Raw genomic sequence first — 20,101 nt, 5'->3', positions numbered from 1 at the left:
GTCACAAGAACAGAATAGTCATCTGTAGCAAGACTAAAGGCTTACTGAAAAGTCAACAACTCAGGCTTTAGAGAAGGTGTTATAAGGAAAAAGGAAAATCTTATTTCCTAACTACATCTTATTAAATTCTATTAAATACTGTGACTTACCAACAGGCCGGATGTATAGAGAACCATCTGTGTTTCAAGTCCCTTAGGACTTATAAGCCAGCTTTGTTGGCCATCTTACTCGCAGATACTTAAATCTACCAGTTGACAGAAATCTTCAGATCATGTGAATGGGGAAAGATAGAGGAAGGCCAAAGAGTGTGTTTCCCCACCTCAGAGTTCCTCTCAAGGTCCAACTGGCAAGCACTGTGGGAATGACATCTTCCTATCTATGAAAAAGCACCTTTGTCCATTACCAGACCACAGTGTGAAACTGCTTTAAACATCTAGAAAATAGATCCTCCTGTAGAAATTAGCCTATGGAAAAGCCTATACAACGGCAGTGTGGAGTACTGGAAAAAGCATGGGCTTTGTCCTTGGACAGCTGGACTCAGTTGCTGGCACACAGGAGGTGCATAGTAAATGGTAACCGTCTATGGTATGAAAGAAAGGATGTTTGCTCATACTTTCTCCACTACTATCCTCCTTCCTAAATATAATCCTTCATCCTATTCAAAGTTTCCATGGGACTAAAAACTTCCGTCCTCTGACTCAACTAATATTGGGGCCAGGACACAGCACCGCATAGTGATCAGGAGTTCAGGAGCTGTAGACAATCCCTGGGTTTGAACACTAGCTCTTCTATTTACCAGCTGTGTAATCTCAAGCAAGCTGTAAGCGTGCTTATTAATTACTTTTAATGCAGTTATTGATAATTCATTAAGACTTATGTGTAAATGGGGGTAATTATAGTACCTATACTTCACTTGGCTAATGAGAGAATTAAAAGAGATCATCTATGCACAAGATTCAGCACAACACCTGGCAAATAAATGACTGTTCAAAAATGTAATTTATTACAATGATCATTATTACTTCCCACAGCAACTATTTATCATTATTATATGTTATTATTATTTCTGTGGCAAACTGAGAAATGGTGAATTTTACATGGTTAATGTGATGCATTAAGAAAGTTCAACCGAACCCAAAGCTTTCATTCCTCTTATTCCTCATATTCCCTGGAAGTTGACTTTTATCTGAGGAAATGAACAACTTGTGCAAAATACATAACCAAAAATTTACAATGAGAGATATCTGGCTTTTATGGCAGATTTTTGTATATTGTGAAGGCAGCAAGAACCATTTTAAATTTTCTTTTTCTCTCTCTCTTTATTTATTATTATTATTATTATTTTTTAAGGAGACAGAGTTTCACTCTGTTGCCCAGACTGTAGTGCAGTGGTGTGATCATGGCTCACTGCAGTCTTGACCTCCCGGGCTCAAGTGATCCTCCCACCTCAGCCTCCTGACTGCTGGGACTATAGGCGCATGTTACCATGCCCAGCTAATTTTTTGTAGAGATGGGGTTTTGTCATGTTGCTCAGGCTGGTCTTGAACTCCTGGGGGCAAGCAATCCACCCGCCTCAGCCTCCCAAGCATTAGGATTATAAGCATGAGCCACTGCACCCGGCCCCATTTTAAATGTTCTTAAACCCTGAATACAATGAGCTCTCATTGCACTATACTAGGAAAAAAGAAATAACTAGATCAGTTTCAGAAAGTCTACCTTAGAGGAAGCAAATAAAATTTTCAAATGTTAATTTTAACTTAAGATATTAACAAATAGAGAGGTTTATGCTATATAGACTAGTTTTAACTTAAGATATTAACAAATAGAGGGATTTATACTATATAGACTAGTTTTAACTTAAGATATCAACAAATAGAGGGGTTTATACTATATAGACTCTTTCAGTTCAGATTTATATTCTTTCATTTTCTACAAACACATGAGCCATGGAGCCACCGCAGTGCACTTCAAAATATTAATAAGGAATTACCTAGAGAGACAGAAATGCAGTGGGAAGCCATCAAAGTGGGCTTTAAGTGATCTATAAAATTAAAATATGACATAAAAATAATTTGCCCTTCCTAGTCTCCTTTCAACTTTCTGGCCATATTCTAACAGTGAATACAAAGATGATATACTTAAACACCAAAAACGTTGAATATTTCTACCTGAATATTATTTTTTGTTAGCCATATACATTCTAATTTGCTCCAGGAAATTCTCATTGCATGGCAATCATGCAAAATTTGTTTTAAACATTTTTCTTCTACTTTTGAAGCCACGCAAAGGGAAGTGTATATTAAAAGCTTTTTCATTCTCCATTTGCTTGGTTATTAATTTGGGAATTAAATTTTGTTTTCATAACAATTCTTCACACATAAATACTGGCTTTTATAACTCTACCTTCAGAATTTGATGTTCCTTCTTCATGAGGAAATAAACTGTTAAATTACACAATGAAAGATCCTGGTTAAACAAGTTTTGTGAAAATGGGAATTTGCTATATACAAATGAGCACATTTCTAAAAATTTGGAAGACTTAAAAGACATTTAACACTAAAACTACATATATTTTAAACAATCTGATCTTTTACTGGTGATGGAGAAGATTTTTTTAAATGCTACAGTCCTAAACGTTATTATTTAAAATAGTGGCCATCATTATATTATATCTATTTTCCAGTGCTGGTAATAGTGCTCTAGCCAATGGGAAGCCAGGTAAAACTAACTTTTATTCTACCAATCTGCCCCATAAGAACTCTGCCCCACAAGAACAAGAATACAATCCTACCAGATCCTTCCAAAATTATAAACATTTTGAATTAGAGAAATTCTGATTTAGACAATTCTCAGTCATATATAATTAACCTAAACATATAGAAATTCATTTTTAAAAAAGAGCTAAAATTAAGGATGGACTTTAAAAGTCCCAAACCACACAGATAATCATGATATAAACATAAAGCAAGATATTTAATTTTTTTTATTTAGTAAAACCCAAAAACTAGATCCAGTTTGCATTTTTAAAAAAATCAGATGATAAAAGACTCTAAGTCAATTCAATAAATTAATTAATTTCAATTAATTTGCGTGAACTTCTTGATTTTTTTATAGTACATGCATTAATTTTCTATTGCTGTTACAAAAATGTCTCCCTGGGATAAAATCAAAGTTGGCAGGGCTGAATTCCTTCTCTGGAGGTTCTAAGAGAGAATCCCATTTCTTTGCCTTTTCCAGCTTCTAGAAGCTGCCTGCATTTAAGGATCATGTCTGCTTCCTTTACCTTCCAAGCTAGTAGCTAGCATTCTCAAATCTCTGCCTCCCCTGCCACTTTTAAAGGCCCCTGGGATTACATTAAGCCCATCAGGATAATCCAGAATAATCTCCCTAATTAAAGGTCAGTTGATTTGCAACCTTAATTCCATTTACGACCTTAATTCTCCCTTGCTTTGTAACCTAACATTTTCACAGGTTCCAGGGATTATGATGTGAGCATCTTTCAGGGGTTGGGAGCAGTTATTATTTTGCCTACCACAGTACATCAGATTTATATCTAAATTTGTAAGATTAAATTCAAGTCAATATTCAACCAAGCAAATTAAAGTTCTCTAATACTATTACTATTATTATTGTTATAGTGTACAATAAAAATGTAAACAGTTTTAAACATTTTCAGTTAGATAATCACATCTTCTTTCACTAGAGACATGCCAACTTAACCAGCGTCTGACCTCTTTCCATTCTTACTTGGGCAAATTTGACACCAATCAATTGCTTTAATACCTTGTTCTCAACTCAGTTCACAACTCAGTGCATTGTAGGTTATACACTGATAAAAATATTAAACTCCCATAAGCTAATGTAACGTATATTGCTTATTATATTTATTATATATTATGCAAACCTGTTTTTTACCCTGAGCTTACATCTCAGACTGTAATAAAAAATTATAAGAAAAGACTATTTCACCAACATGGACTTCACACAACGTTTTCAGGAAGTATACTGGAAGAGCAGATTATTAGCATTTGTATAGATTTTGGAGATACCACACCCCATGTTAGAAATGATAAAAAGGAAACTTGGCCCAGAGATCTTCATCTGACTTACCTGAGGTCACACAGCTAACCTGAGACAGAGCTGTCTCCTGACAATAAGTAAGTGTTGTCATGATTATGATGCTGTTCGTCTGACACATAAAATAGGGTCAACTATGACTCATCACTAGAGCACGTTGTAAATTAATATCTTTACTAAGTTACACTCCAAGGGACTATAGAAGTAGAATTTTATCATTCTGTTCCATGACAATATATAGCCCTAAGCCAAGGATCAACGCCTACTAAGAGCCTGTGTAAATTATACAAAACTTATAAAATGTCATATAAGAAGAAGAAACAGTATGCAAGAAGGAGAAACTAACTGGACAACAGAATCAAAGAATGATGAGCCTATGCTAATAATGCAGATAACTTCTATAAGACAAAGAAAAACTTGACAATATTTCACTTTTTCATGATAAATCATTATTTCTTATTGGTGGAATAAAATGACAAGAGTATAAGACATTTTTATATGGATTTTCTTAGAGGAAGAAAAATGGTTTAGAATTTGTACAATTTGACAAATATCATTATGTCAAGAGTATTTTGAAATTCTGTCATTTTTCTCCAATTTTTTTTTTTTTTACTTTTTAGAGACTGGATCTTGCTTTGTTGTCCAGGCTGGAATACAGTATGGCCATCATAGCTTATTGTCTGTCTCCAAATATTTAAATCTCTACTTTAAAATATATCAGCTAAACACACCTATATCCCTAATCTGATACATGAAAAATATAATTCTCATGTTAAAAGTAGTTTCTTTTTAATATTAACTATATCACAGTTTCTTTCAGATAATAGGACTGAATTCTATTTTTAAAAGTTATGGGGAGAGAAGCCTCTTAAGTTATCAATAAAACATGATTTTCTTGGTATCATAAAGGAGAATTAAAATCAACTTACTTGATGTAATAGGGCACTTTATTATGTGAAATGGATCTTTGCCACGGCAGCTGGACTGACGCTGAGGAAACAAAGGGAGATTATTGGAAACGTTGGAAACCAAAAAGCCTTACACCTTAATGCAAAACAACTGAACATTTTATAGCAAATTCAATGAACTGCTCTGGTTTCTGAGCTGGATTCCTATAATTATGAGATCCACTGGGCCAAACAAAAAATGGCTTTAAGGATTCATTTGAAGTAAAACAAGAAACAATACAGGTTCAAGGTCTAATGCCAACTAATCTAACCTGTTGATAAAAATACTTTTAAACTTTCAAATGGTGTTGCTTATAAATACTACAGTTTAAACCTTAGTGCCATCTGGAAACTGTACTCCATATATATTTTTGATAAAGCTAAAACCAAAATTAATTTTACCTGGTATATCCAGATTAAAAATTAGATTTTTCAAGACCGAATTTTCCAGATGACTAATAACATTGTTTACTTTGCATCGTAGTCACAGGAGTAGCTATTGAGTACAGATGGCATTTAAGTAAATTCAATTCTATAACATTTAAAAAGAAGGAATTTAAAAATAGGCAAAAAGTTGTGAAGAACCAAGGCAATCGTCTAGGCAGAAAAATCCCAATTTCTTACTTTCATCTGAAACATACAGAGAGCCCAGTCTCCTACTTTTGCACTAGACCTTACTATGACTGAGATTTTATGGGGTTTTTAAATTGAGGTACTTTTTTTTTTTTTTTTTTTACAATTCTAGTTACTTCTTACTTATAAAAAATATATTATTCCTACATTAACCAATTATTTTAAGACTTATTTAAGAAGAATAGTACATGTGAATTTAGTGCCATAAAAGAATTTTGCTAAATGAACAAATATAAAAATTCAAATAATACTTGGAATTTTCATACTTTGCAAATATCATCAGATCCTCACGTAGCCAGTTGTCACCAATACTTTTTTTCTCAATTTCATGTCACATTAATATCTTACAACTATTCAGCATTCTAAACTTTGCCAAGCATTTTCAAATATATGTTTTCGGTAAGGAAGCCAGCAAGATACACGTTAAAGTTCCATTTGATAGATGAGGAACTAAATGTGTAGAGATAAAATAACTTGCCCAAAGAGTGACAGCCAGTAAATAAACGGTCGAGCTCAGATGTGATCTCAATTTCTGAACACTAGCTGAGCAATTCTTCTACTCAACAATTCCTCCTCTCTTTATAAAAGGCAAGCACTCTGTTCTCAATCTATGCCCACCAAAGTATAAACAGGGATGAAAATGAGGAAGTAGGTATGTTACATTTCTCATTAGAGCCAACCTCATTTCAGTGTTGGCACCAGGCTAATAGGTCAGTTTTTATTTTGTGCCTAACTAAACAGGCTTCTTTTATAACCATGGCTGAAGTCCAAGAAATATAATAAAGCCAAAGATTCCAAGCAGCAAAGGATAACAATTATTAAATGTATTAATTGGGACTTTGTTTACACTTCCCCACTCATTTTAATAATTGTTTTGATTTGAATAACTTCTACCTCCTTGGATTCTCAGTGTTAGATAATACAAGGCCATGTATTTGACTTTTACAAAAATGTGTATAAATTTCACAATATTTCACTTCCAAAAGAATATGTGCTTGATTTCCACTATGAGAGTGATTGCTAGGTGAAAGTATAGCATTTCATCAATATTAAAGATAACTGATAGTTAGAACTGTAAAGACAGTCTCAATTATTTTGTAAATTCCTCTTTCATTTGGTCTTGGTACATAGCTTTACATTTTGAAAAACTGAGCTTTAGAAATCTGGAATACTTAATAATCTAATAAGTATACAGCAAACCTATTTACTTCATCAACATTGATGGTATCTGGACTTTAAAAATGTGTCCTGGCATCTAGGTACACAGTATATTCCAGGAAGGCGTATACCAAAGATTAACTACCTAAGGTCTAAGGTTTGTGAAACAGAAAAACTGTATGGAGTTGAGGTAGGGGTGGGGGCAGTGAGGAGGGTGAGAGGTAGAGAGGTGTAGGGCAGGAAGGGGCAGAAAATGACTGATTAAGATTCTTGAAATTGTAAAAGAAAAGCCCAACCTTTAACTGAGGTAAGGCAGTTTATCAAGAGTGACAAAAACATTAAGAGGAAATATAAATGTAATCAATTTAGTTAGAAGATATAGTACTTTTTAGCTGTTTCTATGGTTATAGTTGCAAAAAAACTGTCATAATTGAGAAATAAGCTTTGCCCTAAGTTTTAAAGTTTACTTAAATTGAATTAAATGAAACAAATTGCTTTCTTACATATATTTGCTAAAGGAAATGAAAGGAAAGGAATTAATATTTATTGAAAGCATTTGTGTCAAGAACTGTGCTAGGTGCTTTGTGTAATTCGATATGCCTTGTCATTGAGTTCTCAAAACAATCAGAGGAAATAGGTAATACGGTATTTTAAGACAAAGAAATCAACCTTCAGAAATTCACAGGTCTGGTAAGCGACAGAATGAATGTTTAAACTCAATCTGGTTGACTATAAATCCGACATTCTTTAGTATCTTCACTAGTGAATGATAAAGTAGAAGCTCAAATTGTTTATTGAAGATCTCAAGAATAGTCCATAAATTTATCAATTCCAGTTGAAAAATATTACATAAAATTCTGCATAGGTGGTTTGGCTACATACGCAATACTCGAATAGCAGAAAAACTAAATATAATCGCAGCGAGCCTAATAAATCAAAATCTTCCCACTTAAAGATTTATGGGGAGTGATTTTTTTTACTTTGAAAGTTGAAGGTGTGTTTTAAATAAGCACATTTTAAGCAGAAAAATTAATTTAAAACCTTAAAAGATAAAACTGATTTCTTTATTATGAAAAAGTTCATAATCTTTGCCTATGACAAAGCAATGATGATATGATACTATGTTAGTTATCAGACATTCCAATGAGAAACCATAGCTAAAGATGAGTTCATTTCTGTTCCACCTTGAAGACTTCTCAGTTGTCATTACGTTATTACAAATAATAACCATTAAGCAATATTTTCTTTGATGTTAGTACCTCCTTACAAGGATCTATCTAAATAAACATATTTATAGCAAGGAATACGGCTTCTTCAATTAAAGTGAAAGAAAATGCTAATTCATTCAATTAATGCGATCAGTCCAGTTTATTAGTACTTACTAGAGAGAAAATGCTGAGAGGATGGTCCAAAATCTCTGTGGGCTTCCTGAAGCTGTTTAAGGCGATCATCCACAGAAACCTGCACACATACACATGCAAGTCAGAGGAAATAATTTGATTCCGAAACAATAACTTTAATAATATTTTTGCTTTAAAGACTATAATAAATGATGCTATTGCCCAGGATATGATTGTTTATATAGACCCCTTGGACCCCTTCTCTGTCTCTGGTATCAGAGTAATGGTAAAAAAAAAAAAAAAAAAAAAGACTCCTTCTGACCTCAAATAATAGTAAACAGTGCCAGGTACTCTTCTAAGCAATTTATAGAAATTAACGCTTTAGTCTTCACAATAACTGTAAAGGTTATTTTTATCATCATCTTACAGATTAAGAAACTAAAACACAAAGAGGTACCCAAGGATATAAAGCTAGTGAGTGGCAACACTCCTGTTCGTATTCTGGTCATACAGTGCCAGAATCTGTGCCCTAACTGTTACTCTGCATTGCCTCTAAGGCAGTACATTGTTTGTAAAGCCTCTAAAGTCAAAATGTGGTCATGGGATCAGTGACCACTCATCTCTCTTTTGTAAGGAAGATGGTAAAAAGTGTTATGGGGAGCAAATGAAAAAGAAGCCTAGGAAACTAGATAGTTAGATAGATAATAGATTATATATATATATGGGGAGTGAGAGAGAGAAATAGACAGTACATAGATAGTGGATAGTTAGAAGGATAGAGTGAGTGAGGTGGTAGAAGATAAACAGAGAATGAAAAGACATGTGAGTATGCAACATCTTATTTTCCTCCAAATTTGTATCTGATCATCTCTACTTCGGGTTGAGATATATATTTCAGTTTGTACAGGCATATTAATGTACTCTTCGTATTTTTTTTAATATACATTTTTGGTTTTGGTTTTGTTTTGTTTGTAAAGACAGAGTCTCACTCTGTTGCCCAGGCTGGAGTTCAGTGGCACGATTATGGCTTACTGCAGCCTCGACCTCCTGGGCTCATGCAATCCTCCCACCTTAGCCTCCCAGGTAGCTGGGACTACACGCATGTGCAATCATGCCGGGTTAATTTTTTTTTTTTTTTTTGGTAGAGACAAGGTCTCACTATGCTGCCCAGGTTGGACACTCTACATCTTTTATCCACATCTTTGTTTTTGTTTTATTTTTAAAGACAGGGTCTCACTCTGTTGCCCAGGCTGGAGTGCGGTGGCACAAACATAGCTCACTGTAACCTTGAACTCCTAGCCTCAAGTGATCCTCCCACCTCAGTCTCTCAAGTAGCTAAGACTACAGACGCACACCACACCACATATGTAATTTTTTAATTTTTATTTTGTAGAGACAGGCTCTTCCTATGTTGCCCAGGCTGGTCTCAAACTTCTGACCTCAAGCAACCCTCTCACCTCAGCCTCACAAAATGTTGGGATTACAGGCAAGAGCCCCCATGCCTAGCCTTTTAAAAATACACATTCTATAGTTAGTTCTCTGCATTATGAAAATGTAAAGGGTTACTAAACTGAGAAACTAAATGCAAATCAATAACAACTGCACACAGCCTACTGACATTTCCATTTCCTTTTTCTAGCCTTGGTCATGTAATGCTAGTTACTGTTCCACTTAGAGGGACAATCTCATTTGCAGCTGTCCTTAAATGAAACTGTGTATGTCTGATTCCCTGGACAGCACTAGTTCCTCCTGGCTAGCTATTTAAATTGCATTAGTATGCACTTTGTTCATTAAGGCCTAAAAGCCTTCAAATGCCACACTTTATGAGTAAAGAAAATATTACTCCTGCAATTCAACAGTGTTGCCCACCAGCATAGATTTTTCTCTTCTTTTCCAACCAGCAACTAACATCTGAGCTCTAGAGGTTACCAGGATCATAGATAAGGATGACAGAATACATATCTTCTTTCAAGTATAACATATTCCCCGACTTCTAATCTTCGGAAATGGTGATAACAGAAATAGAATGGGAAGTAAATCAAGATGGACCATAAGAATCATCACATGAAGATAATGAATTAGAGAAACAGAGCAGAAGAAAAAAAAAGAATAAAGAACAAATATTTCTATGTTCCATCCACTAGAAAAACACATAAATTTAACAGATTTTGCTTTACTAATCCTAGGTTATTAACACTCTTTGCAAAGACTAAGATTGTAAAATATTGTACACTAATTTCTTACTTCTTCAATTTCATTAAGAAAATATGAACCATTGAGTGCTTTGATATTTGAATTAATTCAGCAAACCTATTATAGATAAAATATATCTCTCAAATGTTTTTATGTGCTACATCAAAATTGCATATTTAAATAAGGTCTAGAGTCATTAAACCAACTGCATTAGCTAAAATCTAAGAACTAAAGGTAAACACCACTGGTATAAATGTGCTATCTGGAAAAAATAAGGAAGATATTTAAATAGCAACCAGTTAGAAGAAAAACAATAGAGACTTTCCTGATTTTTCAAAATGAAAAAAAAAATACATGATGAAAGTAAGAAAAATGACTCCTTTATTAGCCATTATGTGAAAAATGTTTCTGTGACCTACCACAGGTTTCAATTACTGTGATTTATTTAACCTTTTGCAATTTTCTACAAATATCATATGAATAGTACATCAAAAAATTAAATTAAACTCTATAAATAAATGAGGCCTTTAGGTTCAAGATACTGAAAGACAAATACCTGATGTCATCACATGCTAAATTCATTATCAAATACCATCAGCAAAGAAAGAGAAAACGGTGAGTGGTAATATAGTGAGGTAGGGTTTAAAGACCACCCAAGGTGTAAGCCTGCATTATGAAGGGGAATAAGCTGATACCTGTAAAAGTTTCCATCGCATATTAAGGTCATCTAGCTGGCGAGACATCTTTAGAGAGGGATGCAGGTCAAGTGGAGACAGCTGACTGGATAAATCATTCACCGTTTTAACTTTAAAGTTGATTGGTGCAATTTCTTCTCTAAATGCCTAGAAGAAAAGAACAAAAAATATATTATTGGAAACGAATATAACAAAAGCTAATACAGTTGATCCTTAAATAACTTAGGTCTGAACTGCATGGGTTCACATATGCACAGATTTTTCTCAACCAAACTTCCTGGGTCCATTTATGCACAGATTTTTTTCAACCAAACATATGGAAAATACAGTATTTGCAGGATGCGAAACCCATATATATATGGAGAGCTGACTTTTCCTACATGCAGGTTCCATGGGGAAATGTGGGACTTGAGTATACATGAGTTTTGGTACATGCGGGGTCCTGGAATTGTACTTCCAAATAAATGGCAAGGCCAGCTCAGAGGAAATCAACTACAGTTGCCCACTCAACAACAGCTGACTTAATTCAGGTCTTCAGTAACTTGGATGAAGAACCAAAAAGTCATTGTTTATTACCCAAAAATATAAATAAATGTGTGAAGAGAAAAATTATAATTCAAACTTTTAAAATGATTATGTATTTCCTTTCATGCTTTCTATTATATGCAGTTTACTCTGGAAAATGTATGCCATTATTTTCCACTTTACTGATATCTAATGTTGATTCTATCTTTAGTTTGTATTCGTGTTTTCTTTTTATTCTGTTTTAACATAGCTACCTTAATATTTTTTCACCAAATGCAACAACTTGATTTTAACATGTTTCCACTTAAAATTAAATTAGAAAGTGGCCAGTAGAAACAACATTCCTAACCATGAAACCAATGCCTATTACAGACTCAAGAGGTAAGATCTATCCCTGTCAAAATCATTTATAATCACTGTCTGTGGTTAGGGCTTGGGCAGGAAGAGTGGAGTCTACAGAAAAAAGGTAAATGAGTCTTAGAATTGACAAATGCCACCTCTGAGCAAGGTCTAGAATCATTAAAACAACTTACTAAGAGCACTTAGAAATTGTAATTATGAGCATCCACATTCTTGACGTTCCCAGTAAAGAATGGAAGCTGCTTGGGAATAGACCCTCACTATTCAGCACAGAACTTGCAATCCAAGAGAGACAGAATTAATTTCTATTGACAAAGGCCCACAAAAATGATATTTGAGCAATATTAAGCTAACACAGAATGGATAATGGAACTGGGATATTAAAAGAAAACAGTTTAAATTTAAATTGGCCACAAAATTATAGTTAATAATGTACCAAACTAAATTTAGAAGTAGTAGGTGTTGTAAACATCCCATTAGCTTTGCCCTCAGGTTTCCTCATTTCTACATTGTCCACTCTTTAAGTGGGGAGGCTCTTTAAGTCTCTTTAAGAGACTAGAGTCAGGGTGAGAACTATGAATGTTGGAAGTTTGAAGTCAACATGTGTAAAGTAAGAAATATTACCGAACCCTGCAGCTACCAACATTTCAAAGACAGGGTAGAGGAAGGGATGCATACAAATTCATGGGAATTGCTTCAGTATGGAAGGAGAAGAAGAGTTGAGATAGTTTTTTTTCCATTGCTGCAGATTCGGCATTTTAATGGATGACAGAATGTGCACACACAGAAAAACACACAAATACAATTAAATAAGAAGAGCAGTTGTATGGTAATAGAGGCATTATAAGTGTAAAAAATTCACAATTAATATAGAAGCACAGGGAAGGAGGAGGGGTGGGTTAGGGTGGGCAAAGGGATTTTTCAGTCTGAACTTTGAAAAGGTCTGGGTCTCTCAGATTCAGTTTGAGAACAATTACAGAATTCAAATCCTTCAAGGTTTCTTTAGTCAGGATTTTAGCTATATGCATTAATATTCTCTCCATGGGTAGGTACCTTGGAGGACTCAAGAACTGTAATTAGCTTTTAAAATCAACATCTTTTTATTTTTATCTATTAAAGATTAAAAATGAAATGCCAGAAAATGTTTTGAGATGCATATAATTTCAAATAATAGCCTATTTTATTTCAAAAGATAGTAAACTTTAAACAAATAGAATATAACTTCAAGACAGGCTTTAAAAATCTTTTGGAACAAAAAAGAAATTCAAATTTTTCCTCTCCAAAAATAATGTTTCCCTATATAAGCCACAGGTTAAAACATTTAAAAAGCTTTGACAAACAAGGTCTTTGGTTTTTGTTTTTCTTTTTATGGTCAGGTGTTATATGGCAATGAGGAGTCTTTCTATCAAGAAAGTTTATCTTTTGTTTTTGAAGAGCTTCCAAATTAAGGGGCTCGAGATAAAGCAAGTTTTAAAATGGTTTCAGAACTGCTGTGTGTTCTAGCATAAAGAACCTATTTATCATGTTATGACTGCACTTTCCTATAACAGAATAAAAGACTATGTGGCCTTCCTTGCCATAAAAACAGAACATCTGCTAGTATCAAAGGTGCTAACTGGAAGTCTGTTGGCAGGTGTGACTCCTAAGCCCTTCTCCTGCCAGAAGGTGTGTATTCTGTAAATAAGAACGATTAATGATAATTTTAGGCAGTTAACATTATTTGATTACCCCCAAGGATTTCGTTTTCCAGTTGTTTTGACATATTTAATAATATTTAGCAAAATTCAGTACTTATTTTTATCTGACTACACTGTCAATGAGATTTGGGGTATACTTTAAACCATCTCTTATATCTCTTATTGTCTAAATTTTATTAACTTTTTTTTCAGGAGATGTTCTAGAATATGGGAACCAAAGGGGAGGTAACCATAAGTCTAACATCCATAGCTTTGGGCAATTCCTTACTACAAACAGAATTTATAGCTAAACTAATTCTTCATTAATATACAATAAGATACAATTTATAGATGAGAGTTCCCAGTAAAAGAGTGTGCTTTTGATTAAATCTCTATCTCCATCCACCAATTTACAAGAGATACCGAGTAGAGAGGAACCTGGAGACTATACCATATGGACACAATTCTGCAAAATCCAGGCTCTGGGAATCAATACAAAACAAACAATTCAGTGTCTTTAACAAATAAACTGAAAAGGAAAAAGGAAGAGAGGGGAAATCTGGGGATTAAAAATATTTTTTAAAAATAGGTAAACCTAATCTACATTGTCTAGAGATGCACAGTTGGATAAAAAATAAAAATAAATGTAAATTATCATAAAAGTTGCATTAGTTGTTATTTGGGGGCAGGGGGTTCCAATGAACCCCAATGAGGGTCATATGGAAAGCACCTGTCCTGACTCCTGATGGGTGGGGTTGCAGCGGCGTTGGCTTTGTAACAATCCCTTATAACAATTTATATACGTGGCTCTCTTTATTTGTGTTATATTTAACAAGAAAACATTTCTTAAAAATCCTTCAAAGACAATGATGCTGACCATGATTTTTTCAATGTGATCCTGCAGCGAGTCAATGAGTAAGTCTCCCACGGGCTTCCAGCCATTCCGCACGGACTCTGCCTCCTTCATGTCAGCGTCCAGGTCATCCATAGCTCCCTGCAGGTCTCTGAGTTTCTCCAATGCCTTGTCCACTTGCTTTTGCCAATTGCTAGTTACAGCATTTAGACTTTCCCATTTTTCTTTGACTTCAGAAGACTGTTTGCGCATGGCTTTGGCAATCTTTTGGGCTCTCTCCTCAGGAGTTAATTCTGTGATTAAAAAAAAGAAAAAGAATAATTTGGATGTCTGATTATATATTCTTAATAGCCAAGTGTGAGTGTTACCATCGTTACTGAGAAATACGGAGAAAAAGTAAGAAAAAATTACTCCAGGGTAAAAATTGTCCAGGGTAAGAAAGAATTTCTCCATACTTCATCCATGAATTCTCTGCTACATTTAATCACACACTCAAAAGGATAATAAAACAGTTACTGAGATTAATAAATTGACCCGGTTTTTGAACTTTAATATATTTCTAAAGCCACTGAAATGTAAGAAGATAACACAAGAAATAAACCAATTTTTCTTTATCATAAATTCAGTTACACAAAATCCAAAGACACTTTTTCATTTCAGTATTCTCAAGAGAAATGGTAAGTATAATTAATGAAGAATGACTATAAATTATAAGCAAAAACTCTCAGAAAATAAGATTAATGTATTGTGTTCCTAAAAATAAATACTGAAGACAAATAACATACCTTAGATAGTGATCATCTCTCTAAGGCTGTTTAGCAGTTTAGTTTTAATAAAGGGCATCATCTGCAGCCCACAGACATTTTAGCAGGAAGATAGCAAGATTTCAAGGACCATCCTAAGTTTGTAATAGAGCAAGGGGGCTTCCACAATGCCTGAAATAAACTTAGAGTTTCAGATAAAAATAGCAAGCATAACACATGGACAGGCCACAGGATGTGGGCTGGAACAGTCCAGAGGAGAAGCAAAGGATACAGACAGAAATCAAAGTCAAGTTCAAAGCCAAGGGTCAGAAATATAAGAGATGGGGAGCTGGTAAAGCAAGGGCAGAGGAATGCAGTCAACACTGAGGAGAAATTCTCAAGACAGCTTAGAAAGGTCTCCAGCATGGCTCCACACTCCTGGGGCCTCACTATCTTCTACACCTTAAAATACCTCCTTTCCTATCTAGCTGGTTTGATGGTGGTATCCAACTGTCCACTGCAAATAAAGAGGCAGTGCAATTGACATAAACTGTACATTAATTTGAGACAGAAAACACATTCTTCTTTGTGATAACATCTCATCTTTCAGTACACATCACATTAGCAATTTCCACTTCACCTCAAAATGTTCCAAATCACTTGGAAAATGATCATCATAAGATGAACTTCACCATAAAATGCACAGAAGCAAGCTCTCCTAAACTGTAACTTTCATCCTCAGTGTAAATTGGTCTGCCTGCTTTATTTAAATATTATATAAAAGCCAAGTCAAAGGTGACAGAACACATATGTTTGTCTCTCTAAATTTCAAAAAAATTCTAGACATTGATATTTAGCAACCGCAGAACTACAAGTTGTGCTGCTTAAGTGGTGGAAGTCTACAGGAAACTTCAGAAATCTCTTGGCAGCTGAACTGAAGGAAGAAGAGAAAACATCACAACTGGTAGATAGGCTGAATATACCAGTACAAGATAAATAAAGAACATAAGTGAATTAGAGGCCAGGTGTGGCAGCTCATGCCTGTAATCCCAGCACTTTGGGAGGCTGAGGTGGGTGGATCACCTGAGGTCAGGAGTTGGAGACCAGCCTGGCCAACATGGCGAAACCCCATCTCTACTAAAAATATAAAAACTAGCCAGGTGTGCTGGTGGGTGCCTGTAATCCCAGCTACTCAGGAGACTGGGCCAGGAGAATTGCTTGAACCCAGGAGATGGAGGTTGCAGTGAGCCGACACAGTGCCATTGCCTGGGTGCCAGAGTTGAGACTCCATCTCAAAAAAATAAAAATAAAAATAAAAAAATAAGTGAATTAGAGAAACAGGTTCAAGTAACTGTCTAGGAGCCCAGAGAAAAGCCCTAAAACATGCAACATGTCAGGATTGCAAAGGCTTCTTGAGAAAGCAGCTCTCTGAAGGCCAGTGTATCATTAGAAAGACAAACTTTATTTAAATCCTTATACCTTTAAGATATCTAGGCTGGGTGCGGTAGCTCACGCCTGTAATTCCTGCACTTTGGGAGGCCAAGGCAGGTGGATTACCTGAGGTCAGGAGTTTGAGACCAGCCTGGCCAACATGATGAAACCCCGTCTCTATTAAAAATACGAAAAAATTAGCTGGGTATGGTAGCGCATGCCTGTAGTCCCAGCTGCTCAGCAGGCTAAGGCAGAAGAATCGCTTGACCCCGGGAGGCAGAGGTTGCAGTGAGCCGATAATGTGCCACTGTACTCCAGGCTGGGCAACAAGAGCAAAATTCCATCTCAGGAAAAAAAAAAGATATCTAAAAAATGATGAATATATAATACTTATATTGTATATATTTTATATAAATATAAAATGTTATGTCTAAGATAAAAAAATCATTCTTAGTCTCATGAGAGGTGGTAACTTTTATGATTAAACACCTGTGTTTGTTAATAAGTCACTTGGGCTTTTTCAAAAATATATCTTAAGCATTGACTACTGTAAAAAAAGAAATACACTACTCATTTCAGAACGGACAACTTAATTATGGTAATTTTCCTCAGATAAAGTAAAAACTCATTCTGTCAGACATTAAATAACTTGGCACAGGGAGGCCCATGGGTTCTTTGTCTTGTGACAAAACATCATCTGCTGCCTCTGACGTTTTTATCTTTCCTTAATGTAAAAATTTATTGATTGAGCAGTCCTTGTGCAGTATTTATTACATAATCCCCACTCAAGAAGCTACTCAGAAGAAAAGAAAAGCTCTGTGTTCAATTCACCATCTGTCTGCCAGAAAGGAAACATATCAACGAATCACTTTTGAGTCAAAATAAGAGTTTCCCAGTGCAGCAACAATCTCAGCTGAATGCATACTTTAAGCCAAGCACAGAGCAAAGTAAAAAACAAAACAAAAACTTTCTAGAAGTCTGTGAAATACATAAGAAGAAGCGACATGTGAAATATGAAGGTATGACTATTTGGGGTAAAATAAATAATAAATAAATTCAAACATCTAAAAGGCAGAAAAAAATGAAAAAAAGGGAAATTATTGCATTCTTAAAAAAAAAAGTACTCTCATTTGAAAATCAAAGGACAAATGTTACTTGAGATTTTCTGAATAGGTATTTGTGGTAAATGCTAAGGACCACCTACAAGTAGAAGCAGAGAATCTGCTTCACCAGTGAAGAACCCCGGTGTCATGTTAGAAACGACCCTCACAGTGAGGGACTGAGTGAGTTTTTAAGGCTGATAATCCAGGAACCCTCCCCCAAAAGGTAGTGATTTCCCTGGTCAGCGTAAGGTCTGGCATGGATAGATAGATGCCAAAGCTCCCCAGGTGGTTCTAACAGGTTGTCAGGATGGAATGTGGCTAGCCTATTGGCATATAAATTGATTTCTCTGGACCATGTAGCTGAAGCTTACGGGACATTTCCACTCCACTGGGTTCTTGTGTCAACACAGAGCACAGTCACTAAATACTGGAGGCCAGAGAGCAAATGAAGCTCAGTGATAAGAGGGTAATCTAATTTGCATTGGGAAAGGCAGTAATAGAGGCTAATGCTAGAGACAGAGGAAACAGCAGGAGAAAACCAAATAAATTTGCTAGCAATTCTGAGATCAGAAGACTTTTTTTTCCTATGTCACTTTCCTATTCTCTAAAGTGTGTGTGTGTGTGTGTGTGTATGTGTGTGTGTGTGTGTGTGTGTGTATGCCCTGTCACTCTCCATTCTCCTCCCTTCGGGTCTTCCCATTGAACTGGCCAAAATTTGAGGGTAGAATTATATTACGTACATATACACTCAACTACTCAGAAGAAAATATATATATTTATGTATAATATACATAAGTAAAATTATGTATATATTATACATAAGTAAAATTATGTATATATTATACATAAGTAAAATTATGTATATATTATACATAATTTTTATATATCTATATATTTAAAAATTTTATACACACACACACACACACACACACACACACACATATATATATATATATGTATACACCATTTTTTTTTTAGTCAGGGTCTTGCTCTGTTGCCCCAGCTGAAGTGCAGTAGCATAAGCCTGGCTCACAGCATCAAACTCCTGGGCTCAAGTGATCCTCCCACCTCAGCTTTCTGAGTAGCTGGGATCACAGTTATGTGCCACAGTGGCCAGCTAATTTTTTTTTTTTTTTTTTAGGGATGAGGTCTCACTATGTTACCCAGGCTGGTCTCAAACTTCTGGCCTCATGTGATCCTCCCACCTCAGTCTCCCAAAGGGCTAAGATTACAGGCATAAGCCACCGCACCTAGCCTCTTACTTATACTTTTATATTTATTTATATTATATATTTATGTATCATGTATTATGAATATTATTTTATATTCATATTTCATAATTTTTAAACACCAATTTATTTATTGCATTACAAAGCTATTTAAGGGACCACAGATAACTATCTTTTAGAAAGAAGAAACAGGAAGAAGACAAAGGAAGAGAGGAAAAAGGAAAGATCAATCCTGATGTTTTCTGTCATCCAATTACCTTTACTTCTTCAAATATGCAAATTAGTGGCACAGCATTTATGCCACGCTCTCCTTTATACCATGAGGAAGAAGACTATAATACACTTCCCTAGAATGCAGGTGAAAAACCAAAGCTGGACCAGGAACAGAGACTAGGATTTGGAATCAGTCCTGCTCCCATTTTGCCCATTGCCCCTAGGCCAGTTACTTGACCTGCCCAGCCCAATTTTATCAAGTGCAAACCCTATTTTCTCATGCTAGAAAAATATTTTATTTCAAGAGTCTATTTTACCTCAATTCAATTATGTAAGAAGGTTGAGCCTCTGTATATCTCAAAGAAATCTTGATAGTAGAGGAAAAAAAACTCTTCCTTTGAGTGCTTATGCAAAGCTATTTTTTAAATTTTAAAAATGAAACTATGTTTCTCCCATGAAATAATGATAGATATTTATTAGAATTCGCCCAGTGTTATTGTTTAATAAACATTTCCCATATGTATGGTGTTTTTTTCTCAATTATGATATCAACATTTGTAATCTCCATTGTGGCTTTTCTACACTTACGTTTTAAAGCCCAATGTCAAGAATGTTTTCTTTCCTTCCATATTGATTTTATAGTAGCCAGTCTAGAGATTGGTATGTCCTCAGTATATAATTACTTAATTGAGTTGGACGGAATTGAATTTTTAGTGCTCCTCTTTATTGAGAACATTCAACTTTACACTTTTAAGTGGACATATTTTCACTTCATTTTTCTTCCTCCTTCTCACATCTGTGTAAAGCACTTACAAAAAAACTATTGTGAAATAGAAGGATCAACCTTACAAAGTCATTTCAGGTATGGTAATTCCAAATACCTTATTTATACTATTTGCTTTTTTGCATGTATCTATAATCTTAT

At 34.9% G+C, this 20,101-nt stretch overlaps 1 protein-coding gene across 2 annotated transcripts in view; it reads right to left on the bottom strand.

Annotated features, from left to right (window-relative positions):
* Nucleotides 1-20,101, bottom strand: part of UTRN (utrophin) — a 567,700-nt gene that overhangs the window by 90,039 nt on the left and 457,560 nt on the right. For both annotated transcript variants that reach the window (NM_007124.3, NM_001375323.1), the window contains 4 exons: nucleotides 14,482-14,750; nucleotides 11,044-11,190; nucleotides 8,198-8,276; nucleotides 5,007-5,067 (listed from right to left, as the gene is read on the bottom strand). In NM_007124.3, coding sequence (NP_009055.2) covers nucleotides 5,007-5,067; nucleotides 8,198-8,276; nucleotides 11,044-11,190; nucleotides 14,482-14,750 — 556 coding nt within the window. The remainder of the gene's footprint in view (nucleotides 1-5,006; nucleotides 5,068-8,197; nucleotides 8,277-11,043; nucleotides 11,191-14,481; nucleotides 14,751-20,101) is intronic.

This window comes from Homo sapiens, chromosome 6, assembly GCF_000001405.40.
Source record: "Homo sapiens chromosome 6, GRCh38.p14 Primary Assembly".
NCBI classification, from domain to species: domain Eukaryota; kingdom Metazoa; phylum Chordata; class Mammalia; order Primates; family Hominidae; genus Homo; species Homo sapiens.
The sequence above is the reverse complement of the archived record's forward strand: the minus strand, read 5'-3'. Positions and strand labels throughout refer to the sequence as shown.